The 25,835-nt window shown below is 36.2% G+C and overlaps 1 protein-coding gene across 1 annotated transcript, besides 19 other annotated features; it reads left to right on the forward strand.

Annotated features, from left to right (window-relative positions):
* Nucleotides 7,343–12,402: a promoter, noted in NCBI's record as "-5000 promoter". NCBI's record gives the evidence for it as "EXISTENCE:reporter gene assay evidence [ECO:0000049][PMID:12459268]".
* Nucleotides 7,343–12,493: a biological region, named in NCBI's record as "IBSP 5' regulatory region". NCBI's record gives its function as "regulatory_interactions: IBSP".
* Nucleotides 7,872–11,382: a mobile genetic element.
* Nucleotides 7,872–11,415: a silencer, noted in NCBI's record as "-4470 to -927". NCBI's record gives its function as "represses promoter activity" and the evidence as "EXISTENCE:reporter gene assay evidence [ECO:0000049][PMID:12459268]".
* Nucleotides 11,415–12,402: a promoter, noted in NCBI's record as "-927 promoter". NCBI's record gives the evidence for it as "EXISTENCE:reporter gene assay evidence [ECO:0000049][PMID:12459268]".
* Nucleotides 11,534–11,557: a protein binding site, noted in NCBI's record as "AP1(3) site". NCBI's record gives the evidence for it as "EXISTENCE:protein binding evidence [ECO:0000024][PMID:19393184]".
* Nucleotides 11,534–11,557: a protein binding site, noted in NCBI's record as "AP1(3) site". NCBI's record gives the evidence for it as "EXISTENCE:protein binding evidence [ECO:0000024][PMID:19393184]".
* Nucleotides 11,663–11,685: a protein binding site, noted in NCBI's record as "CRE2". NCBI's record gives the evidence for it as "EXISTENCE:protein binding evidence [ECO:0000024][PMID:20965237]".
* Nucleotides 11,663–11,685: a protein binding site, noted in NCBI's record as "CRE2". NCBI's record gives its function as "positive regulation of promoter activity" and the evidence as "EXISTENCE:protein binding evidence [ECO:0000024][PMID:19127545]".
* Nucleotides 11,933–11,942: a transcriptional cis regulatory region, noted in NCBI's record as "E element". NCBI's record gives its function as "important for expression in chondrocytes and fibroblasts" and the evidence as "EXISTENCE:site-directed mutagenesis evidence [ECO:0005528][PMID:12397605]".
* Nucleotides 11,996–12,347: a conserved region, noted in NCBI's record as "conserved region; BSP box". NCBI's record gives the evidence for it as "COORDINATES:sequence alignment evidence [ECO:0000200][PMID:9084640]".
* Nucleotides 12,020–12,493: a promoter, noted in NCBI's record as "-319 to +148 promoter fragment". NCBI's record gives the evidence for it as "EXISTENCE:reporter gene assay evidence [ECO:0000049][PMID:9069166]".
* Nucleotides 12,144–12,150: a transcriptional cis regulatory region, noted in NCBI's record as "D element; corresponds to site A (PMID:12750290)". NCBI's record gives its function as "important for expression in osteoblasts and hypertrophic chondrocytes" and the evidence as "EXISTENCE:site-directed mutagenesis evidence [ECO:0005528][PMID:12397605, PMID:12750290]".
* Nucleotides 12,244–12,263: a protein binding site, noted in NCBI's record as "R1 Runx site". NCBI's record gives the evidence for it as "EXISTENCE:protein binding evidence [ECO:0000024][PMID:12750290, PMID:17956871]".
* Nucleotides 12,259–12,280: a protein binding site, noted in NCBI's record as "CRE1". NCBI's record gives its function as "positive regulation of promoter activity" and the evidence as "EXISTENCE:protein binding evidence [ECO:0000024][PMID:18088579, PMID:19127545]".
* Nucleotides 12,259–12,280: a protein binding site, noted in NCBI's record as "CRE1". NCBI's record gives its function as "positive regulation of promoter activity" and the evidence as "EXISTENCE:protein binding evidence [ECO:0000024][PMID:18088579]".
* Nucleotides 12,289–12,293: a CAAT signal. NCBI's record gives the evidence for it as "COORDINATES:motif similarity evidence [ECO:0000028][PMID:8061918]".
* Nucleotides 12,315–12,320: a TATA box. NCBI's record gives the evidence for it as "COORDINATES:motif similarity evidence [ECO:0000028][PMID:8061918]".
* Nucleotides 12,345–25,226, forward strand: IBSP (integrin binding sialoprotein). Its single transcript, NM_004967.4, has 7 exons — nt 12,345–12,424; nt 15,139–15,206; nt 15,299–15,349; nt 15,445–15,522; nt 18,913–18,975; nt 23,397–23,555; nt 24,153–25,226. The coding sequence occupies exons 2-7, from the start codon at nt 15,153–15,155 to the stop codon at nt 24,699–24,701; spliced, it is 954 nt and encodes a 317-aa protein (NP_004958.2). The 5' UTR covers nt 12,345–12,424; nt 15,139–15,152; the 3' UTR covers nt 24,702–25,226.
* Nucleotides 12,441–12,464: a protein binding site, noted in NCBI's record as "YY1 site". NCBI's record gives the evidence for it as "EXISTENCE:protein binding evidence [ECO:0000024][PMID:9069166]".
* Nucleotides 25,227–25,835: the final 609 nt, after the last annotated feature.

The raw sequence follows: 25,835 nt of genomic DNA on the forward strand, positions 1-25,835 counted from the left end.
GGAATTCTGCTATCACAGCCTAAACTGACTAAGATACCTTGAGTATAAATCTGGCAGGAAAGAGAGGTTTAAAAAATTTTACACATTTTAAAATAGGTCTTTAATTTCATTGGCTACAAACCTATTCAGAAAACACATTCTATAATGGCTATCAATATTGTTCCTACAGATGAGCTACGAGCTTCTTATTCAATCTCTCAGAGCAAAAAGCAATACTGATAGACTTGCATTCTCAAAATAATATTGTCCCATTGGGGAATGGTTCTTAGGAGTACAAAAAAATCTTAGATATTACAATTGTTTATAGCCCTCCAAAGCTCAACCCTATCCAACAAAATCTTATTCCTTTTTCTTGAGACTATAAGCCAATTTCATTGTTTATCATCATGTCATACAAAAGTCTAGAAACAATAATGAATTTGTACAGAAAAACCAAATGAATAGCAAATCAGAGCACAACAAAAATAACTTAAATTTGCTATTTTTTTCTCATGATATTAGGAAGATAATCATTTCAAAGCACATGTGTCTACCTTCAGAGTAGTTTTTGTTTACTGGCCAAAGCCTGCCATAAAGTTAAGGCTTTCAGTGCCTCTGTCCGCTCTACTAGCTCTTGGCAAGACTTTTGAGGTCTTCAAGAAAAGTAATGTATCCTGGTGCTCTGGGCTCTGCTGAGCTCTACCAATTCATCTGCAAAGGAGTTGTCCACCCCTTGGTATTTAATTTCTCTCCATAAGGAGACTTTAAATTAAATTAAATTTTGCTCTTTAGCAGAACAATAATGAAAGAAATGGTTCAGAAACACTGGAATAGATGGTCTTCTATTCGTTATTTATTAGGCATTATTTCAAGAATATTTATTGAATACATGCTCTAATTCAGGCACTGTGTGGAGATACTTCAGGCACTTTGGCTGGAGATATAATGACAGATAAAATATTGTTCCTATTCTCAGCAACTCATAATCTAGAGGGTATGAGAGAGAGGCGACCAGCCACAGTAGAGAAGGTTCAGCACCACCACAGGGGTGCTACGGAAATGTATGGAGAGGTAGATCCAGCCATGGTTGAGATGGGAATAGGGGCAGGCTTCCTGCAGGATGTGACTTCAGAACTGAGTCCTGAAGGACAGACCAGAGTTAGACAGACAAAGGTAGGATGTGCAGAGACCCTGAGAAAAAGATGCGAGGTGCGAAGAAGGAAGTGAAATATTTTTAAATGACTGAGCTTACTGTGAGGGACAGATGTAAAAGGGGTGGGCCTGGAATCGTATGTAAGAGTCAGATCATGAAGGGCTTTCTAGGAAACTCTGAGAAGCTGATATTGTATCCTGAGTGTATCCCAGTCATGGAAGACTTTAAGCAGAAATTTAAAATATATTAGTGGTATTTTAGAAAGTTTGCTTTGGCCACAGTGCGAAAAATGGATTGAAGGGAAGACAATAAAGAGGCTCTTGTATTAACTCAGATGAGGCAATAGTGGCCTCAAATAAAATAATAGCAGTAGTGATATAGAGAGTAGTAAGATTCGAGGGGTGTAGAGTTGACAGGAATGGACAGGCCTACATTGAGCAGGTAGGGTTAAGGAACAGGTAGGTGATTAGGATGACAACCATACTTCCAGCTTGACCAAATGGACAAAGAATACAGGAAAAATGATAGTTGGGAATTTGAGATAATTTTGGAACTTGCAGGTGGAGATTTCCATTATAAGTTTGATATGTGACCCTGAAGCAAAAGAGGAAAATCTGTATTAAAGTAACAGATGTGTAACTGAAGCCATGAGAATGAGAGGAGTCATCCAAGGAGACTGCAGAATGAGAAGAGGAAATGGACAAGGACAGAGCCCTGAGAATGTGAACATCAGAACACAAAGAAAGAACAGCATATAGAAGCACCTGAGAAGTAGCACGAAGGGAGGGAGGAGGAAAATCAGACCGTGCAGTACCATAGGTATGGTGGAAACGTAGAGCTTTTGAAAGAGGATGAAACAGTTGGTGGTGTGAACTGCCATAGAAACCATGTAGGAAAGTGACTGAAAAGTGTCCATTCCAGTTAACAAGCAAAAACTCATAGATTAACAAGAAAGAAGTCATTGGTACCTGTTTCCAGAGTTGTGGAGGCAAAGGTGATATTGCAGTAGGTTGAGGAGTGAGTAGATGGTGAAGAAATTAAGTCATCAAATGTTGGCAAGTTTGTAGAAGCTTGGCTGTGAAAAGAAAGCAAGCGATCTATGAGAAACTAGGTGTAAATGTGTATGAGCAAGAGAGCGTTTTTGTTTCTTTGTTTTATGGAAGAGACTTGAAAATTAAATGCCAATGAAAAAGAGCCAATAGGGAGAAATCGATAATACAGTTGGGAGAGAAAGTTGCCTGGGAAGGCTACAGATAGATCCAGCAAGATTTAACCTTCATTCGCTTATTCGAGATTCCTAAATCTTGAATAATGAAGATTGGGAAGGAGAAAAATGAATTCAAGAGCTTTCCTTTGGCTACAGGAATCACATCAAGAGAAGAGTCTACAAGTACTCTGCCCTCAGATCTATCATCTGCAAACAGTGTTGTGTGTTAAACTTCGACCTCTCTTTTAGAAAGGGCAAGGACTCAATTGAGACGTCTTACTAATTCACCTGATGTCAAATTCTATGAGACCTTCTAGTCTCATGTAAATAACCATAGATGTGGTTTCCCTGACTCCATATAAAGCAATTTAAACAGATGCAATCCTTGCCCTTCAGTAAATCACAATAAAAAACAGATGACATGGACACACACAACCACCACCACCACCACCGCATAAGGACACAATATTATAGTAAGAGAACATGATGGTCTTAATAAGCATCTATAGTAGGTACAAGTTTGGTATTTGTTATTTCTGGCTTACGGAATACATGAAGGTTTTGCAGGGAAATTGGGTGGGGTTAGGAAGAGCACTACTTGACCTTCACTTAAACAGGGGAGACCTGGGACAAAAGAGAAGAGGTAGAGCTGTGATTCCTTTAAGTTCCCAGGATGAAACCTGTCTCTTTTATCCCTCACCACTCAGACTTACAAGCCCTCAATAAATAACAGTAGTTGACTGATTGTATAAAGTCATAGACCTAGATACTTAGTGATGGAAAAACTAGGCAAAGTTTGAGCAGATAAGGCTGGATGGAAGGCAGAATGCATACTGGAAATTAGGAGGTTAAAGGGGCATGAAATGTTCTTAGATTGCCTATCAAAGGGTCTAGTAATGGAGGATTAAAGAGTAATTATAGTGATGTCCAGACAGCTCAGCAGAATACTGTAAAGGTGAGGGTTGGTGCCCAAACTAGATACTACGTTTTGGTTTCAGAGAGCAAGCTGGATGTAGAGGATATGAAAGAAATAGCAGAGAGTTTAGAGATAAATATAATGTTAGCATAGCCAATATTTTAACATTTTTCTGATAGAAAAATTTCATCATATAAAATTTTGACATAAAAATTATGTCATTCTAAGCTAGAATCCAAAAAATTCTAGCTTCTTAAGCTTTCAAATAAGAGCTGCAAAGAGACTTTACATGAAAATATGTTTGAAAAGTATTTATCTCCTTTTTCAGTCTTGGCTATTCATGAGTCTTATATAAGGCATCTTGAAATGTATTCTAGCAAGCAAGGAAGACTAAATGAGTTTGGAAAGGGAGCTAGGGTCTAGATATTTTTAGATTGAGGGAGCTTTGCCCAAAGTCAAAAGCTAGCAAGAAGGCAGCCTATGAAATGGGAGAAACTATTTGCAAACCATGTATCTAATAAGTGGTTAATTTCCAAAATATATGTTTAAACTCCTACAAATCAACTTTAAAAACCTAATGATTCAATTAAAATTGGCTGAAGACTTAAATAGACATTTCTGCAAATAAGACATACATTTGGTCCACATGTATAAAGAGACACTCAATGTCTCTTATCATGAGGAAATTGCAAATAAAAACCACAGTGAGATAGCACCTCATACCAGTTAGGATGGCTATTATAAAAACAAAACGTACAAGTGTTGGCAAGGATGTGGAAAAACTGGAATCCTTGTACATTGTTGGTGGGAATGCAAAATGTTGCAGCTGCTGCAGAAAATAGAATAAAGTTTCCTCAAAAAATTAAAAATAGAACTACAGATGTTCCTCAACTTATGATGGGGTTACATCCTGATAAATCCATTGTAAGTTGAAAATATTATTAAGTCAAAAATGCATTTAATACTGAACATCATAGCTTGGCCTAGCCTACCTTAAATGTGCTCAGGACACTTACATTAACCTATAGTTAGGCAAAATCATCTAACATACAGACTATTTTATAATAAAGTGTTGAATATCTCATGTAATTTATTGAATACTGTACTGAAAGTGAAAAACAGAAGGGCTGTATGGGTGCTCAAAGTATGATTTCTATTGAATGTATCACTTTCACTCATTGTAATGTCAAAAAAGTCATAAACCATTGTAAGTTGGGGATTGTCTGTATATGATACAGCAACCCTACTTCTGGGTACTTACCCAAAGGAATCTGAATCCAATCTCAAAGAGATACTAGCACCCCATGTTTGTTGCAGCACTATTCACAATAGCTAGATATGGAAACAACCTAAATGTCCATCAGTGAATAAATGGATAAAGAAAATGTGGTATATGCATACAATGGAATATTATTCAACCTTAAAAAAGAGGGAAAGTCTGAAATATGAGGCAACATGGATGAACTTTGGGGACATTACGCTAAGTGAAATAAGCCAATCACGGAAGAACAAATGTGGCATAATTCCATTTGTATGAGATATTTAACATAGTCAAACTCATGGAATCAAAGAGTGAAATGGTGGTTGTCCAGAGCTAGTGGAAAAGGAAAATGAGAAGTTGCTAATCAATAGGCATAAACTCTCACTTAACGCGAAATGCTGAAGTTCTTGAGATCTGCTGTATAACATTGTGCCTATACTGAACAGTATTGTATTGTACACTTAACAATTTAAGACAGTAGATCTCATATTAAGTGTTCTTTCCAAGATAAAATAAAATTTGAAAAAGTTTGAAAATTTAAAAAATAAAAGCTAGCAAAAGACAGCACTAAGATTTTAATATTTGATTCCAAATCCTATAGCCATAGAATTGATTGTAAGGGGATATAGGCAAGTGCCTGGGATTAGAATATTACTACTGTAGCCTGGAAAGTAGTAATGAGAACTTGAACAAAGACAGAACTGACAGGAAAGAAGGGAGAAGGTTGGATTCTAAAGGAAACATGAAAGTGGTATTAATAGGATTTGACAACTGAGTATATGTGGCAGGTACATTACAGTGAGTGTGGGGTTTTGCCAGAATGGATTCATCTTACAGAGCAGTTGGTCATGGCGGGCCAATGAAATGAATCTATGTTCACATACCATCTAAGAGAATCAATTTATCACCTGTTTAAATGAAGAAGAATGATATGATCATGAGAACTTCAGTAAAAAGTGTTGTTGGGACAGTCCTGATTAGAGAAATAGCAAAGTTAGTAAGGATCTGTGATTCTTACTGTGATAGTACTATTCCTTAGAAAAAAATGCTTTAATGAGCATATATGAATAAATCTAATCAATTTAGTAGCTAGACGACTGTTGGAAAAGTTTGCTAGGGTTAATGATGTATTGAAAATAAGGTATCACAGTATATTATAAATTGAAACAGTCTTAGAGGTCACCTATAATAGTTCTATCATTTCCTTAAAAAACTATTTATAGATCATTTCAAACATATACAAAAGTGGAGATAAATATCATGACTTACCATTAATTCATTAACAATTTGACAATTATCATTTTATGGCCAATCTTTAATCATTTCTCCACCCTCAGATAACTATTTTATCTCTGAAAAACAAGAATTCTTTTCAAAACCAAATAACAATAATAATAATAATATCATCACATCAGTTTTAGGTGTGATGATACTATTCCTTAATACTAATATATACTTAATTATATACTTATTTAATTACTTAATACCAATATAATTCCTTAATAATAACAATCATTCCTTAATACTATAAAATGCTGATTAGCATTCAACATTTCTCCAATTCTTTCATAATTTATTTAGAAATGTCTCTAAAGTCTTTATAATTTGAGTTTCCCTTTCCTTCTTTTTTATTTTTCCTTCTATTTTATTGAAGAAATGAAGTAATGCATCTAATAAAGTTTCCCATGTTCTGGATTTTCCTGAATGTGTCTCAATGGTCTTATTTTACATGTTCTTCTATCCTTGTATTTCCTCTAACCTGGTAGATATAGAGGCCTGATCAGATTCAAGTTCATTTATTTGGTCAGAATGCTCCATGAGTGTGAAGGTACACATAATGCCTGGTTTCTTCTTTTTGGTGAAAACTCTCTTATTTTTTAAAGATGGTTTAAATTGAAGTCTCAGAATGGTTAAGAGGTAGAGTCAAATTAGTGGGAGAGTCAAGACTGAAACCTCAGACTTTTGAGTCTCAGTCTCTACCTCTTTCATTATATCATGTTACTATCAAAAAAAGCTTGCTAAGTGACTAGAACATAGCAGGTGGTCTATTCGGCATTGCATAAGACATGGTTGCACCATTCACAAAATTATCCAAGCCAGAAATCCAGAAGTCATCCTAGGCTTCTCCACCTCTCTTACTTCTACTAAGTCCTACTGACTGTATCTATTTTACATCACTCTCATTTGTTCCCTCCTCACCACTCCCACTGTCACTACATTATTTCAGACTTTATTGTTGATTTATTGGACCACTATGATTAGCCTTTGTAAGCTGCCCTTCTCCATAACAATCTTGCCTTCTTCAGTCACTGCTGCCTTGTTAACAAAAGATTTTTCCAGCTGAAAATCTGAATATGTTATTTTTCTCAGTTTTCATGATGGAGTTCATACTCCTTAGTGTGACAGACAGGTCCCTCCATCATCTGGCTTTGCCTATCTGACCAACTTCATGTGTCACTACTTTCACTCACAATATTCCAGTCTATTGAATTATTGAAGTTTTCTGGGTCTGCCAGCAAGAATATGTAGTGATTAAAATGTGGGCTCTAAAATTAGACATACTTGACTTTGATCCTTGAATTTCCCCATTTACTAGTTGTGCAATACAAGGCATACTTACCAGCACTGTGTCTCATATACCTCACCTCTGTAATGGGAATAATCTCAAAGAATTGTTTTCTATGTGTACGAAGAATGAAAGAAATAGTGCAGGTGAAGAATTCGCATGTGAGCCCTCGCTCAGTAAATACAGGGTGGTGTTGTTATGTGGTTTCATATGCCTTTATAACCTTTGAACACATTCCTAATAATGTTTCTCTCCTCCTTCTTGACAACCTCTCCTTCTTGACAAGCTAGCAAATTCTTACTCTTGTGTAAGGGCCCAGCTCCACTGCTCTTTTGCCAATTAGTAGTAAACCTCTCTCATTCCATAGCGCCTCGGAACCTTGTAGATATTTAAGTTACTGTATCCCATGGCTATATGTCTATCTGCCTTGCACAACTGTTAAATTTTTAGATAGAAACCATATTTTTTTGTTTTTCTTCTCATATTCTATATCATGGTATGGCTCAGTGAAAAGCTCTATAATTTAAGGTTACTGCATCCCATGGCTATATGTCTATCTGCCTTGCACAACTGTGAAATTTTTAGACAGAAATCATTTTCTTTTGTTTTTCTTCTCATATCTTATATCATAGTATGGTTCAGTGAAAAGCTCTATAATTCAAGGTTTGGTAAATTCAACTAAATTGATGGGGTTGAATTAAATTGAAAGAGTGTATCCAACTTCTCTTTTTATGAGTCTGTATTTTCCAAGTAACTTTTATGAAAGAAAAGATGACTTATCCAAAGAATCTAAATCAACAGAATATACATTTTTTTCAGCACCACACCACACCTATTCCAAAATTGACCACATACTTGGAAGTAAAGCTCTCCTCAGCAAATGTAAAAGAACAGAAATTATAACAAACTATCTCTCAGACCACAGTGCAATCAAACTAGAACTCAGGATTAAGAATCTCACCCAAACCGCTCAACTACATGGAAACTGAACAACCTGCTCCTGAATGACTACTGGGTACATAATGAAATGAAGGCAGAAATAAAGATGTTCTTTGAAACCAATGAGAACAAAGACACAACATACCAGAATCTCTAGGACGCATTCAAAGCAGTGTGTAGAGGGAAATTTATAGCACTAAATGCCCACAAAAGAAAGCAGGAAAGATCCAAAATTGACACCCTAACGTCACAATTAAAAGAACTAGAAAAGCAAGAGCAAACACATTCAAAAGCTAGCAGAAGGCAAAAAATAACTAAAATCAGAGCAGAACTGAAGGAAATAGAGACACAAAAAACTCTTCAAAAAATTAATGAATCCAGGAGCTGGTTTTTTGAAAGGATCAACAAAATTGATAGACCGCTAGCAAGACTAATAAAGAAGAAAAGAGAGAAGAATCAAATAGACGCAATAAAAAATGATAAAGGGGATATCACCAACGATCCCACAGAAATACAAACTACCATCAGAGAATACTACAAACACCTCTATGCAAATAAACTAGAAAATCTAGAAGAAATGGATAAATTCCTTGACACATACACTCTCCCAAGACTAAACCAGGAAGAAGTTGAATCTCTGAATAGACCAATAACAGGATCTGAAATTGTGGCAATAATCAATAGCTTACCAACCAAAAAGAGTCCAGGACCAGATGGATTCACAGCCGAATTCTACCAGAGGTACAAGGAGGAACTGGTACCATTCCTTCTGAAACTATTCCAATCAATAGAAAAAGAAGGAATCCTCCCTAACTCTTTTTATGAGGCCAGCATCATTCTGATACCAAAGCCTGGCAGAGACACAACCAAAAAAGAGAATTTTAGACCAATATCCTTGATGAACATTGATGCAAAAATCCTCAATAAAATACTGGCAAACCAAATCCAGCAGCACATCAAAAAGCTTATCCACCATGATCAAGTCGACTTCATCCCTGGGATGCAAGGCTGGTTCAATATACGCAAATCAATAAATGTAATCCAGCATATAAACAGAGCCAAAGACAAAAACCACATGATTATCTCAATAGATGCAGAAAAGGCCTTTGACAAAATTCAACAACCTTTCATGCTAAAAACTCTCAATAAATTAGGTATTGATGGGACATATTTCAAAATAATAAGAGCTATCTATGACAAACCCACAGCCAATATCATACTGAATGGGCAAAAACTGGAAGCATTCCCTTTGAAAACTGGCACAAGACAGGGATGCCCTCTCTCACCACTCCTATTCAACATAGTGTTGGAAGTTCTGGCCAGGGCAATCAGGCAGGAGAAGGAAATAAAGGGTATTCAATTAGGAAAAGAGGAAGTCAAATTGTCCCTGTTTGCAGATGACATGATTGTATATCTAGAAAACCCCATTGTCTCAGCCCAAAATCTCTTTAAGCTGATAAGCAACTTCAGCAAAGTCTCAGGATACAAAATCAATGTGCAAAAATCACAAGCATTCCTATACACCAACAACAGACAAACAGAGAGCCAAATCATGAGTGAACTCCCATTCACAATTGCTTCAAAGAGAATAAAATACCTAGGAATCCAACTTACAAGGGATGTGAAGGACCTCTTCAAGGAGAACTACAAACCGCTGCTCAAGGAAATAAAAGAGGATACAAACAAATGGAAGAACATTCCATGCTCATGGTAGGAAGAATCAATATCGTGAAAATAGCCATACTGCCCAAGGTAATTTACAGATTCAATGCCATCCCCATCAAGCTACCAATGCCTTTCTTCACAGAATTGGAAAAAACTACTTTCAAGTTCATATGGAACCAAAAAAGAGCCCGCATCACCAAGGCAATCCTAAGCCAAAAGAACAAAGCTGGAGGCATCACACTACCTGACTTCAAACTATACTACAAGGCTACAGTAACCAAAACAGCATGGTACTGGTACCAAAACAGAGATATAGATCAATGGAACAGAACAGAGCCCTCAGAAATAACGCCACATATCTACAACTATCTGATCTTTGACAAACCTGAGAAAAACAAGCAATGGGGAAAGGATTCCCTATTTAATAAATGGTGCTGGGAAAACTGGCTAGCCATATGTAGAAAGCTGAAACTGGATCCCTTCCTTACACCTTATACAAAAATCAATTCAAGATGGATTAAAGACTTAAACGTTAGACCTAAAACCATAAAAACCCTAGAAGAAAACCTAGGCATTACCATTCAGGACATAGGCATGGGCAAGGACTTCATGTCTAAAACACCAAAAGCAAGGCAACAAAAGACAAAATTGACAAATGGGATCTAATTAAACTAAAGAGCTTCTGCACAGCAAAAGAAACTACCATCAGAGTGAACAGGCAACCTACAAAATGGGAGAAAATTTTCGCAACCTACTCATCTGACAAAGGGCTAATATCCAGAATCTACAATGAACTCAAACAAATTTACAAGAAAAAAACAAACAACCCCATCAAAAAGTGGGCAAAGGACTTGAACAGACCCTTCTCAAAAGAAGACATTTATGCAGCCAAAAAACACATGAAAAAATGCTCACCATCACTGGCCATCAGAGAAATGCAAATCAAAACCACTATGAGATACCATCTCACACCAGTTAGAATGGCAATCATTAAAAAGTCAGGAAACAACAGGTGCTGGAGAGGATGTGGAGAAATAGGAACACTTTTACGCTGTTGGTGGGACTGTAAACTAGTTCAACCATTGTGGAAGTCAGTGTGGCAATTCCTCAGGGATCTAGAACTAGAAATACCATTTGACCCAGCAATCCCATTACTGGGTATATACCCAAAGGACTATAAATCATGCTGCTATAAAGACACATGCACACGTATGTTTATTGCGGCATTATTCACAATAGCAAAGACTTGGAACCAACCCAAATGTCCAACAATGATAGATTGGATTAAGAAAATGTGGCACATATACACCATGGAATACTATGCAGCCATAAAAAATGATGAGTTCATGTCCTTTGTGGGGACATGTATGAAATTGGAAACCATCATTCTCAGTAAACTATCACAAGAACAAAAAACCAAACACCACATATTCTCACTCATAGGTGGGAATTGAACAATGAGATCACATGGACACAGGAAGGGGAACATCACACTCTGGGGACTGTTGTGGGGTGGGGGGAGTGGGGAGGGATAGCATTGGGAGATATACCTAATGCTAGATGATGAGTTAGTGGGTGCAGCACACCAGCATGGCACATGTATACGTATGTAACTAACCTGCACAATGTGCACATGTACCCTAAAACTTAAAGTATAATAATAAAAAAAATTAAGAGAAAAAAAGAAAAAAAATGATATTCATTAATTTTTGATTTCTCAAGCAGACTTCGCAACTGGAGGAAGAATAAAATGACTAGACTAGGAGAATATGCAAACTATTAAGCTAGATTTCCCTTTGTAAATTAAAAAATTAGTACTTTAGTTTATCAATCCATTCTTTGTGGTGTTGGTTTCATGAATCATTTCAAAAACAATGGATCACTCCTGCTAGCTCTAGTCATTTTGTTATTCTCATAGGAAAAAAATTAAATATGAAAATGAATAGAAAAGATATATATAGAAGCCCAAGAAAAAAATGAGCTGACCTCACATGCACGACAGGAAGGGCCACATAAATGGACAATATACAGAGATTTAATTTACAAAACAAAATATAAAATCTGCCTCTCAGTGGTATGATTCTCAAAAGTTCTAACTTTTATACTCAGCATCATGTTTTAGCAACTATATCTTACAAAGTCTGACCGACTTAATCATATCAACTTTAATTTATGAGTCAATGAAGTATATTTCAGGAGGAAACATCAAATGATATTAAAATATTGATGGTTCATCTGCTCCTTTCCCTTATTATTTAGTTTTTCTTTCTTTTTTTAGCTAAACTAATGTAAAATTATATCTAATGACAGCAAGCTTTCCTTTCTTTCGACATAGTGAAAACTTGTATAATTATGAAATTTTTAAAAGGTTAAAGCCTTTGTTATTTATTTTAATTCAAATCCAGTATATTATTATACATATTCGGAGCCCAAACTATTCATCTTCATCTAAACCTTCAATTAAATTCCACAATGCAAACCTCTTGGCTCTAGAATCACGTTTCTTGTTTATTCAACTGAGCCTGTGTCTTGAAAAAGTGTTGAAGTTTGGGGGTTTTCTGGTGAGAATCCACGTTCTGACATCACCTTGGTCGTGACAGTGATTGGCTGTTGGAAGGCAAAGAAGAGTTTATAGCCAGCAAGAGCAAGTGAATGAGTGAGTGAGAGGGCAGAGGAAATACTCAATCTGTGCCACTCACTGCCTTGAGCCTGCTTCCTCACTCCAGGACTGCCAGAGGGTAAGATTTAATAGAACAACTTCATTATCATAAAATTAGACACTCCATAGTTTACATCTCTGAACTTGGCTTTGAATTTTTCATTTAAATGATGTTATTGCATTGTACATGGTTTAATAATTATTTATCATTAAACTGGCACTTCAGATTTTAAATTCTTTCCAAAAGGCTAAACTTATTAACCTAAGCATGTAAATAAGTTCTTAATACTATGCACATAAACTACATTATGCTTCTTACTTTCATTCTCTGCAAATCATAGCTTAACTGTTTGTTTTCTCATTCTGATGCATTCAAGATAACCTGATTGAAATACTATTTTGCATTTGCAAATCTGGCTAGATATATGCATATTTCTCTACAAATTATACCTAGTCTGTACTTCAAGTACATATGTTGTCTTTTCAACATATTAAACATTAGGTTTTGATGTTTCCTATAGCTCTAAAGTCAGAACAGAAAATATATTGTACTAACTAGAGAAATAAATACTCTTGGTAGTTTATCATACCCTTCCCAATAAAACTTGAAATTAAATCCTCAAAATTCTCCTTTAAGAATGTTTGAATTGTTGTCTGGGTTAGTAGTGGTCACTATAGAGGTCTTGGCTTTTTGTTGACTCACAAAGTAAATAAAATTAGATTTATATAGGCAGCCAATCCTGACTACAAGAACTACTTGGTTCTTTGTATTGTTATTATTATTATTTATGCCATCTTTTCATCTGGTTATTTTTATTGTTATGAGAAATTTGTGTAATCAAAACTATTTCTATAATTCTATGTATCTAAGCTTTTAGCTCTTTAAAATATTATAAATATTCCGACCCTTCTCACAAAGTGGCAAAGCAATAATCTTTCTGTTTTGCTGATGGGCTTGGTCACGGCTGGCAAAGTTCAAAGCATTATTTAGACCACCCCGATAGAAATCAGTGCTGCTTAAAAAGATGGGCTCCTTCAGGAGCAAAGCCTGTTTATTCCCAAGGGGCCATCAAGACCTTTTACTAAGATAGGACTGTGAGAAACTGTCTGGGCACCAAAACCCAAAGACTCACTCTGACACACAAAAAGAGTGTGACTTAGGACCCAAGACAGTATCTCCAGGACTTAGTGTCAGATACTCAGTAAGGATGCAATAAATCTTGGCTGATGATGACACAATACACAATTTACCAGCAGGTTTCAATATATGACATTGGTTTGCACATTTTAAGTATTATTTTCAAAATGTATTCATGGGAAATTGCCATCACCACTACATTTTGCTTCCAAAATATTGCCAAAGCTGTGACTGTGTATGAGAAGGTGCTAACAGTTAAATGTGTATGTAAATGTAAATGGCTGAGTGTTAGTAGGCTTTCAGCTAAGCTTGCCCAACTTCTATTATGATATAATTTTAAATACAATTTTATTAAATAGAATAAAATTAAGATAGGATAGCATTTCACTATCTCCTTTTACTCATGAGGAATTTATGTGGAACTGAGGCTCTTTTTATGGCTGCAATCCCCAAGATTATTCAGGCCCTATTCCCACTTTGAGAGCTGCATCTTCGATTGTTCCATAGAATTGAAATTTTCATCCATGTCTGTCACCCTAACCCTGGAGAGCCCCTAATCCATCCCAGTACAGTCTCATACACTAGCAGATGGAAAGCTTAAATGGAGCTGGAGAGCAAATTAATTTGAGGAAATCTGCCCCCGATATCTCAAGGCGAAACTCTGAAGAACTCCTCATGGAAGCATCCTTAGCGGAGTTGCTGTTGCGTGCTACATGATGTCAGTGTGATATTTCATATATTATGGATCCTCTCTGTCTCTCTGTCTCTGTCTCTCATCCACCCACCCATACACACACACACACACACACACACACACACACACGCATATACACACACACACACACCAATTATTCCAAGATGTTCAGAGGAAAATTGCTCCTACTTTCCATTTTACAAATAAATTTTTAGCCCAAAACCTATATAGAAGCTGGAAACCGCCTATAGGGTATCAGTGATTTTTGCTTTTTTGTTTTATTTTTGAGACAGGATCTCACTCTGTTGCCCAGGGTGGAGTACAGTGGTATGAACACGGCTCACTGCAACCTTGGCCTCCCAGGCTCAGCCTCTCGAGTAACTAGGCCTACTGGTGTGCACCACCATGCCAAGCTAATTTCTGCACTGTTTGTAGAGGACAAGTTTCACCATGTTGCCCAGGCTCATCTCAAACTCTTGGACTCAAGCGATCTGCCCACCTTGGCCTCCCAAAGTACTGGTTTTAGAGGCATGAGCCACCATACCTGGTCGAGTTTTTAATTGTAAACAAACAAACAGGGCACACAACTACACTAACAATTCAATTCACTTAGCTGACACTCCATGTCAATATTAAGAGGGCCATTACGCCAGTGTGAAGTACCCTAAGTAGTCAAAATCTCTTGCAGTAATGAAAAGGTCTTCCATTGAGAAATCACAAAAAATAGGTTAAAACCAAGTATGGAACTCAAGATTATTTAAACGGATGGGTTAAGTCAGTCTTATATTACTTAAATGGAAGGAATAATTTGAAAATAAAAGGAATAATTTAGTTTTAATTAGTCAAAGTGATAATTACACAGAAATGAAAACAAATTAAATACTTCATCTTTGAATATGAGTAAAAAAGTTATGCTCTTAGTTTTAATATTTTATTAACCTTACCACTTCATTAATTCCAGAAGCAATCACCAAAATGAAGACTGCTTTAATTTTGCTCAGCATTTTGGGAATGGCCTGTGCTTTCTCAGTAAGTTCTTTATCAAAACCCACAGTTATTTTCAGTTTTGTCTTTTTATGTAAAAGAAAAATTATGCAATAATTAAATGTTCTTTAAAACAGATGAAAAATTTGCATCGAAGAGTCAAAATAGAGGATTCTGAAGAAAATGGGGTAATTAATTTTAGCATACTTCCTTGGCCTGATTATACTTGCTGTATATTTATTGCATATTAAACATGAATATATCATTTATTTTGTTTTTGCAGGTCTTTAAGTACAGGCCACGATATTATCTTTACAAGCATGCCTACTTTTATCCTCATTTAAAACGATTTCCAGTTCAGGTAAATATAGAAATTCATTTTTCTTCAGTTTAATTTCTATTATAATTTAAAGGAGATCAAATTTTAACTATAAAACACCTAAATTCAACTCTCACTGAAATTCAGTCAAAAAGACTGCTTACTATAAGAAGTTTGTTTTTAGGGAAATAAGGTTTATTTCTAAGTTCTCTTTTAAGGCAGACATATACACAGAGTAAAATCATTTGGATCATTTGGGTACAGTCTAGAATGATATAATAAAAACAAACACTGTAGCACATTGAGCTCTGGTATTTTTGCTAACTCACAGACAAAAGTGGACAGTTTTATCAGTTGTTGACCAATTCCATCAGTGATAAGGTCACTGGCTGTCCTATTACAGCTGATTCAATACTGTCAGATAGCTGTTTACATGTGGCACTGCAGAGTCCTTTAATTGGTAGGGGAAAATTTGACTTCATAAACATCAGAGGCCATTGTTTTTAAAAAACCTTGATAATCAATGGTAATTTCTGAAGATTTTCTGCACCTTAACCTGTGTGGGTCACTAGAGCAATATGTCATACACTGGAGCATAATCATAATGGTAAAACTGCAGAGGAAAAAGAGAAATTCATGACGTGCACCAAAAAAGCTTGTGAGAAAAACAAACCATCCCTTAAATTTGTAAACAAAAAGGAAAATAACTAAAAAAAAAATAAGAGTTTCCAATTTTGCCGGGTTACCTGTGAAGAGTGCCTTTGAAAACCAGAGGGTGTGGTGTTGATTTTAAATATACAACAAACCAGGATTGCACTATTTTTAGTACCATACAGTTTGGGTTCAGGACACCAATTATGCACCACTTGACCCAGGACTTTTGAGACACTAAAAGCAGTCAGGATGCTGAAAACGATGCCTCAGCACAGTGGCTTGGCATTGCATCTTACCATATGTTGGGCTAATCCATCTCTAACCCCTACAATGATAGGAAATGATCATTTTAAAGTATTTCTAGCACCAGCATAATTATGGGGAATTTGTGTGGCCACAAAAATATGAGCATGAATGAAACAAGAGTTGTGGGTTTTCAGAATTGTATTCCCTTCTTTGGTTCACCTCAGATCCATAAATAAACAGTGCTCATTTGAAAGTTTGCTTTGTTCTCTTTTTTAAACTAAATGGAAATGATAATAAATTCAAGTCTCTGACTAGCTCCTAAACTTTTCTGAAATATTAGGTACATAGAGATATTCATTCCCATCTGGATATTTTTATAGATATGTATGTATGGGCCCATTAAAATGTCCATAGTGAAGCAATATTAGGAGGCATTACATTTCTCAATATTGATAGACCTGAGGTTTGTAGATCAAGGAGATCTTTAATATACAAGTTTTTTCACAAATTATATGCAGATAGGCCCATCTCAACTAATGTAGAACTTGTAAGATAATTGTTTTTAAATAAAATTATATACAATATATCTCCCAATCCTACTGTCTGACCTAGTATTCATGACCCATTCTTCTACTTTACAAAATTTGATTTTCTTTAAGTGTATTGTTAGGTGTTTAGTGCCCATGTTGTCACCCCAAAACACATTAATCTGTATTGGCTTTGAAATTCATGTTTCCATCAAACAAATCTGCATTTATATACAATCATTTCTAAATTACCAAGTTACAATGACATATGTTATTTGGATTGCAAAGTGATCAGCAAGCTATCTATTGTGGCTTATATATCTGCTAGACTATAGAAATGAAAGTTTAAGTAAACTTAACATCCTAAGCTTCTTTATTGAGAAAATTGTCATTTTGTGATTCAAATGATATTTTATTAGTTGAACTCATAGAAGGTAAGAATTTAATCTTATATTTCCTTTATCGGACTCATCTCAGCTATGACAAGAGTTGTGGGTTTTCAGAATTGTCTTCAATTTCAGAACTCTTTCATCTATCTGTGTAGACAAATGAAAGACTTCTTGGAGAATCAATTGGACTTAGCAACAAATTGGTAATAATGCATAAATGAAAGATAGGAAAATGCCAAAGCTTCAAGGCATTTCATACAGCTTTTAAAGTGTTCTCACTGCAGACACTAATCGAAGAGTGATGTGGTTGAGCTAGGGAGAAAGCCAGAGGTGAAGGAGCATGTGAAGTGATTGAAATACCCCCACTGAGAGAAACAGTTCTGATTGCATAAATATACTGTCCTCTATAATTAAGTTAACTAACAAATAGAAATCGTCCAAATATAATACTCTATTCACCCTCTGGGCTAGGGAAGGCACAACCATTAAGGTCATGGCAGTGGAAGAACAGGTTTAATTATTCTCTTTTCCACCTGAGGTTATTCCTGGCTCGAGGTGACAAGCATTCCCTTTCCTTGGGTGGATGATGTGGCCATCTGAAGAATGAGCCAGCAGGGACAGTCCCACAGGACCTGGACATGAATGTTGTCTCACATTTGATTTCTAACCCAGAAGTTAGAGATCCTTCTGCAGCTATATTTTCTAAATGCAAGACATTAACTGGGTCATCAGAATCAAAGCTAAATATTGCAGGGAAGGAAATGACAGAATCTTAGATTGGAATTTACATTTCCTTTCAAAAAGTAGCAAAACTCTTTAGCTTATAATTATATTTTTATATACAAAATCTTAATTTATTCTCATTCAACACTGAACTTGTTAGAGGGATATTACTCTACACAACCTCCCAAATAATTAAATGAATAAGTCATAAGATTTTTACTTCACATGTATAAATTAACCTCATTTTAGGAACTGGCTTTAATCAAATTTAAAGATACTAAAAATTATATGCAAATTAAATGCTATTAAATTAAGTGCTAATTTAAATTCAACAGGAGAGCTCACTATGTAAGAGAATCATCTATAACAACTTTTATAGTAAGCTGAATGATTTCTTTCATGTTTTCTAAATAAAATTTTAAAATGTGAACTATATCTTAGCCCAAGGTCTGCCTTGAACCTGCTGGAGAAGTCACAACTTTTTTAGGCCGCTGATTCATTCTCCATAAAATTTAAAAATTGGACCAGTTAATTCACTTGTTCTCTCAAAGTTAAACAATTCTGTGATTCATTGCCCTAGTTTTTACATACAAAATGTTTCAATATATTGTCAATGCTTTGGAAGTTGACAAATGGGACATCCAATTCATATCTTGATCATAGTAAAATGCCTATTTTTCTCTAACTTCATTTTGCATGTCTAATCTCCTATCTTTCTCACATCAGTATGCAATCTGTTCTTAGTAAACAAGTCAGTCAAGATGGTAATACTAATTAGATTGAGTAAATATTTGTGTGTATTTTATTGTGATTCAATTAGCAGGAAATTTAAATTGCTGTTGAATATATTTGTACACAGATAAGAGTATACATACATGTGTATATATTTTTAGGGCAGTAGTGACTCATCCGAAGAAAATGGAGATGACAGTTCAGAAGAGGAGGAGGAAGAAGAGGTAAGGAATTTTGCAATCTTTTCGTAATAAAGCAGACAGCACAAGAAACAAATAGGAAACTAGTCTATTGCATTCTGGACTCAGCAAATAGCCATTGTCACTTTACTAACTGCCCATAATATCCTATTTTGGATAAGCAGAATTTTATTTAAATTAGGATCCACTAACATGACCTGTTTAAAACACTATTGCAGTTTGGGGTTGAAATTACTTACAAATGGTGCTCAAAACCAAAAATCTCTCCCTTTTAAGTAGAAGTAGTATAAAATCTGATAAAAAGCAACAGAAGTAGTATAAAATCTGATAAAAAGTAACAGATAGCATTACTTCTATTTAGGTGGATAGAACATGATGTTAGAAGACAAGTGAATAGTAATCCTAAACTCAGTGCAAGACTTGTTTTAAGGACTGAACTTTACAATTTAATTTACCAAGAGGGTAATATGTAAAAACCCGTATATCTCCTCTACAATATTATTGTGATTCATCAGCCTTTCATAACCCACAAAGTAGGGTTATTCTTTTTAAAAAAATTTCAGGCTTGTTGTGGTGGCTCATGCCTGTAATTCCAACACTCTGAGAGGCCAAGGCGGCCAGATCACTTGAGGTCAGGAGTTTGAGACCAGCCTAGCCAACATGGTGAAACCCTGTCTCTACTAAACATACAAAAATTAGCCAGGTGTGGTGGCATACACCTGTAATTCCTGTCACTCGGGAAGCTGAGACATGAGAATCACTTGAACCCGGAAGGTGGAGGTTGCAGTGAGCCAAGATCCTGTCACTGCACTCCAGTCTGCGCAACAGAGCAAGACTCTGTCACAGAAAAAAAAAACAAAAACAACAAAAAAAAATCATACGTCTTTTTGGGTAGTAATAAAATTCATAGGTATATAAATATCTTCCCATATAGTTTTACAGATTAGTGTAGTCCTGGGCTAAGAATCATCTACATGTCTTGGAAATTGTGCTACCATGTTTATAACTGATACTCTTGCCTAAGGAAACATACCAATTAGGATGCATCTTTCCCGCATAGTCAATTATAGCTACCACTGGTTTAGGAACCTTTTAAATTCAGCTTTTCTCAGGTGCTATTTATGAATGGACAATGATATTCAAAAATGGATCATGTATTAACAGCTGTCTTGAAAACAAAATGGTGTGGGAACTTGAAAGGTGACGAATCATTAGTTTGGTATATTTTTAACTATAAAAGTAACATTTCCCGTATCATAATTTATACTAACATCTTGAAGGAAGGCCTTACAAGAATGTTAAGCCAGTACCAGGAAAAATGCCACCCACTAAATCCCACAACATTTCTGCTGGAGTTCCACATAGCAATCTTACACAAGAACTAGGCTAAGGTTATCCATTTAGTTATAGCTATTTGCTGTACAGTGATTGTAAAATTGCCTTGTCAACTACATTTCCCAACTAGATTGCATAACTTTTGGGAGTGGCTCTTCGTTTGTTGTTGTGGTGGTTGAGGACTGAGGAAGACTAGGACTTCTTTGGGGACTCTGATGAAATCAAGTACACACAAAATTTTGCCAAGGATCTCTGAACATTTAAGGTCTTCCCAGAACGTGTCTGCAGACACCTCATGACCATAGGTTAAAATCCCTGCTTTGGGGAAGAGCCATGCTACTCAGTTTTATATCTCTTCATGCTGCCTAGCATAATTTCTTATACATATATGGTGCCCAGTACATATCTGGTGGTTTGGTTTTGAAACTTCAGAGGAATAAATGCAACAAACTTCATTCATTAAAAGTAGTAATGGAAAAGCGGGTAAACAAAACCAGAAGTCTTTCATCCTGAAGAGATTCTGAAACATCTTTTTTCCTCATTCTCTAAAATGTTATTAGCAATTTAGGTTAAATATAGAGTCCCCAGGGATTGTATTTGTATGAGGAGAATACTTAGGCATATTTTCTATTTGGTGATCACACATTTCCTTTTTCCACTCCTAAACTATTTAGTCTCATAAAATAAACTTTTTTTTTTTTTTTGAGACGGAGTCTCGCTCTGTTTCCCAGGCTGGAGTTCAGTGGCTTAATCTCAGCTCACTACAAGCTGCACCTCCCAGGTTCACGCCATTCTCCTGCCTCAGCCTCCCAAGTAGCTGGGACTACAGGCACCGGCCACCATGCCTGGCTAATTTTTTGTATTTTTAGTAGAGATGGGGTTTCACCATGTTAGCCAGGATGGTCTTGATCTCCTGACCTCGTGATCCGCCCGCCTCGGCCTCCCAAAGTGCTGGGATTACAGGAGTGAGCCACCGCGCCCAGACATAAAAGAAACTTTTATTGAAATATACATAATAAAATTATCCTAATTATACATCTCATTGAAATTTCAGAAATTGAACACGTAAGTGAAACTAGCACTCATATCAAAAAGCAGTGCGTGCCTTGTGTTCCATTCCACTCATTAACAAACCCCTACCAAAGGCAAGCAGTATTTTGACTCTTAATAGATTGACTTTGGCCTGTTTTTGTATATTATGAATGTAGGATCATACATGATTTACTCTTTGTGTGTCACTTCTTCACTCTCAAATTTAGAGATTCATCCATGTTGTTCTGTAGTTGTAGATCATTTATTCTCATTGTTAGTATTTCATTACGTGAATGTACCAAAATGTGTTATTCTTCTGTTGATGGGCACTTAAGTAGTTTCCAAGTTTGGGTGATTACAAAGTGCTGCTATGAACTTTCTAGAACTTATTCTGGTGAACATATACATATTCATTTCTCGAGGCCATTTCACCTAAAAGTGAAATTTCGGAGTCGAAATCTACTGAGGCATATATATTCAACCTTAGTAGATGGCAACCAGCTTTCCAAAACAGACGTACTCAGGTAAACTCTCACCATCCGTGTATGAGGGTTCCGGTTGCTCCACATTCTCACCAACACTTGCTTCTTTCAGTCTTGTTAGCCAATCTAGTGAGTTGATAATATCTTTGTAAGCGCAAATTAGTGCTATTTTTCTATCCAATAAAATTTGTGAAGCCTCATACCCATCAACAGTAACCTATTTTCCTATGTAACTCATGTGCAGCGGAACATCCTTAAATAAAGTATCTGGGAAAAGAAAAGGTGTAAGAGAAAATATAAAAGTTGGGATATTGGGCCTTTAGTTGTGACCCTACCACCAATAAACTGCTATCTATTTGACCTCATATGAGTCATATAAGCCAATCAGATTTTTCAACTGCAAATAGTATATTCTTCTACTCTGGGGATCTTTCTAAGGATGGTAGAATAAATTTCTCCTTCTACCTCTGAAACATCTGTTGGAATAAAGCATAAACATAAAACAATAAACAAACACATGGTGTTTTGGGGATATTTGACACAATTAGCTTGGAGACTGTTTGGGGTATACTCTGGTGGTATTGCAACCCTTCACTGAAATAGTGAAATTTACAAATTTGATGAAACAAACATGTGGTGCTTTAGTCACTTTGTTTTAATAATAGGCTAAATATTTGTTTGTTTGTTTTAAACTTTAAAAGTTATCACAATCTCTTAAAATGTATTGAAGTGAATTCAATTTTCCAGTATTTGTTTAAAATAAATAAATTGTATATATAGGAAACCTTGACTTTTTATATTAGCTACAAATTACACTGAGATCAACTCAATTAAAAAACAATTGCCTCACGATATGATATAAAGGCTAAAAGATTAAATATTAAAGATTATAATAGACATTCATTTGAAGAGTATTAATTTTTTAAAACACCTTCATGCAGACTGGGCGCGGTGGCTCATGCCTGTAATCCCAGCACTTTGGGAGGTTGAGGCGGGCAGATCACAACGTCAAGATCACATCCTGGCCAACACGGTGAAACGCCGTTTCTACTAAAAATACAAAAATTAGCTGGGTGTGGTGGCATGTGCCTGTAGTCTCAGTTGCTGGGGAGGCTGAGACAGGAGAATCGCTTGAACCCAGGAGGCAGAGGTTGCAGTGAGCCAAGATCACACCACTGCACTCCAGCCTGGCAACAGAGCATGACTCTGCAAAAACAAAACAAAACAAAAACAAAAAACCTTCATGCAATAATATATCACTAAGAATTTCTTAGAGTGTTTAGTTTCTTCTTTGTGCAGAAAAAAAATGATGTGTCAAATGCCTGAAACACAAGTATTTTTTAATTGATAAAATACAAAGCAGAAATATCTAAAACATATAGTGTGGAGTAAGGAGGATTCAATAACTTGGAGTTGAGCTCTTGGAAGTGAGAAGTGCAAATGGCATAGGGGAAGGCAGGCTTTGAGTGATCAGCCAGCTGAGGGATGCAAAGTTTTTCCAAATAATAAACCTTCAATAAATGATTCACAGCTCCAGTAAATCTTGAACTATCTTCCAGGTAAAATAATTTTTCTTACTATGAATATTTTTAACAGGAGACTTCAAATGAAGGAGAAAACAATGAAGAATCGAATGAAGATGAAGACTCTGAGGCTGAGAATACCACACTTTCTGCTACAACACTGGGCTATGGAGAGGACGCCACGCCTGGCACAGGGTATACAGGGTTAGCTGCAATCCAGCTTCCCAAGAAGGTAACAATGGAATTATTCCTCCAAAATGAAATTATTACCATTAATAATAATGGTAATGTTCAATCTTTTTTAAACTTTTTAACTGGAGTCTAAGGGTATCCTAACACTACACACATAGTATTTTATACTATCTTCATTAACTCGCTGAAGTGAGAGCAGATACAATTTTCCTATTTACAAATAAGAAAATATCTTCTCCCAGGCAAGTTCTCCTACCATGTTATTACACTGACTTTTACATTATAACAGAAGACTAAGAACACACCACTAGGCATGGATAAAAGGTCCTGAGAGATACCATGACATTCCAGGGAAGAGAATTCCAAGACAGAGAAAGTGAGTAGCAAAACGATAGGAAGACTCTCCCCCAGGAAAGGCATTATCTTTAAATAATGGCACACTTTCCCCATCAAAACCCATGACAAAGGGGTTTATCCTGAAGTTTTAAAGCCCCCAATCATTTTGTAAATTAAAGTGGCCTTAATTCAAATAAGACGCCTAGAATAAGGCTGTCAGTATTGTGTTGCATGAAATGACGGCCTTAAATTTTACATTTTTCACAGCTAGATTTGGGTTCTTTCAAACGTTTCCTTACAGGCTGGGGATATAACAAATAAAGCTACAAAAGAGAAGGAAAGTGATGAAGAAGAAGAGGAGGAAGAGGAAGGAAATGAAAACGAAGAAAGCGAAGCAGAAGTGGATGAAAACGAACAAGGCATAAACGGCACCAGTACCAACAGCACAGAGGCAGAAAACGGCAACGGCAGCAGCGGAGGAGACAATGGAGAAGAAGGGGAAGAAGAAAGTGTCACTGGAGCCAATGCAGAAGACACCACAGAGACCGGAAGGCAGGGCAAGGGCACCTCGAAGACAACAACCTCTCCAAATGGTGGGTTTGAACCTACAACCCCACCACAAGTCTATAGAACCACTTCCCCACCTTTTGGGAAAACCACCACCGTTGAATACGAGGGGGAGTACGAATACACGGGCGCCAATGAATACGACAATGGATATGAAATCTATGAAAGTGAGAACGGGGAACCTCGTGGGGACAATTACCGAGCCTATGAAGATGAGTACAGCTACTTTAAAGGACAAGGCTACGATGGCTATGATGGTCAGAATTACTACCACCACCAGTGAAGCTCCAGCCTGGGATGAATTCATCCATTCTGGCTTTGCATCCGGCTACCATTTTCGAAGTTCAACTCAGGAAGGTGCAATATAACAAATGTGCATATTATAATGAGGAATGGTACTACCGTTCCAGATTTTCTGTAATTGCTTCTGCAAAGTAATAGGCTTCTTGTCCCTTTTTTTTCTGGCATGTTATGGAATGATCATTGTAAATCAGGACCATTTATCAAGCAGTACACCAACTCATAAGATCAAATTTCATTGAATGGTTTGAGGTTGTAGCTCTATAAATAGTAGTTTTTAACATGCCTGTAGTATTGCTAACTGCAAAAACATACTCTTTGTACAAGAAGTGCTTCTAAGAATTTCATTGACATTAATGACACTGTATACAATAAATGTGTAGTTTCTTAATCGCACTACCTATGCAACACTGTGTATTAGGTTTATCATCCTCATGTATTTTTATGTGACCTGTATGTATATTCTAATCTACGAGTTTTATCACAAATAAAAATGCAATCCTTCAAATGTGTTATAATTAAGAAGAGAAGTGAGAGATTCATAATGGAAAAGGTGAAACAAATGGAAGACAATTTCACTAAAGGAGAAAAGCTTATTTCCACTATAGTTTAAAACTAAGAGGCACTGTAAACATTTTCTTTTGGCTAAATCAACATAACTAAGACTTTGCCATGCTTGTGGGCAGGGTTAGCCATACACGTCAGGGGAATGAATGGCTCTTACTAGAGTTACCAGATATAACAAATATATAGGATGCCTATTAAATTTGAATTTCAGATAAACAATGAATAATTTTTAGTATAAGTATACCCCATGCAATATTTGGCCTTTGTGAAATATTTTGGACATACTTATACTAAATAAATGATTCACTACCTATCTAATACTCAACTTTATTATATATTTATGTTTTGAGACAGAGTCTCACTCTATCACCCAGGCTGGAGTGCAGTGGCACCATCTCGGCTCACTACAACCTCTGCCTCCTGGGTTCAAGCCATTCTCCTACCTAAGCCTCCCGAGTACCTAGGATTACAGGCACACACCACCACACCTGGCTAAATTTTTGTATTTTGAGTAGAGACAGGGTTTCACCATGTTGGCCAGGCGGCTGGT

Source organism: Homo sapiens, chromosome 4 (genome assembly GCF_000001405.40).
Source record: "Homo sapiens chromosome 4, GRCh38.p14 Primary Assembly".
Lineage (NCBI taxonomy): Eukaryota > Metazoa > Chordata > Mammalia > Primates > Hominidae > Homo > Homo sapiens.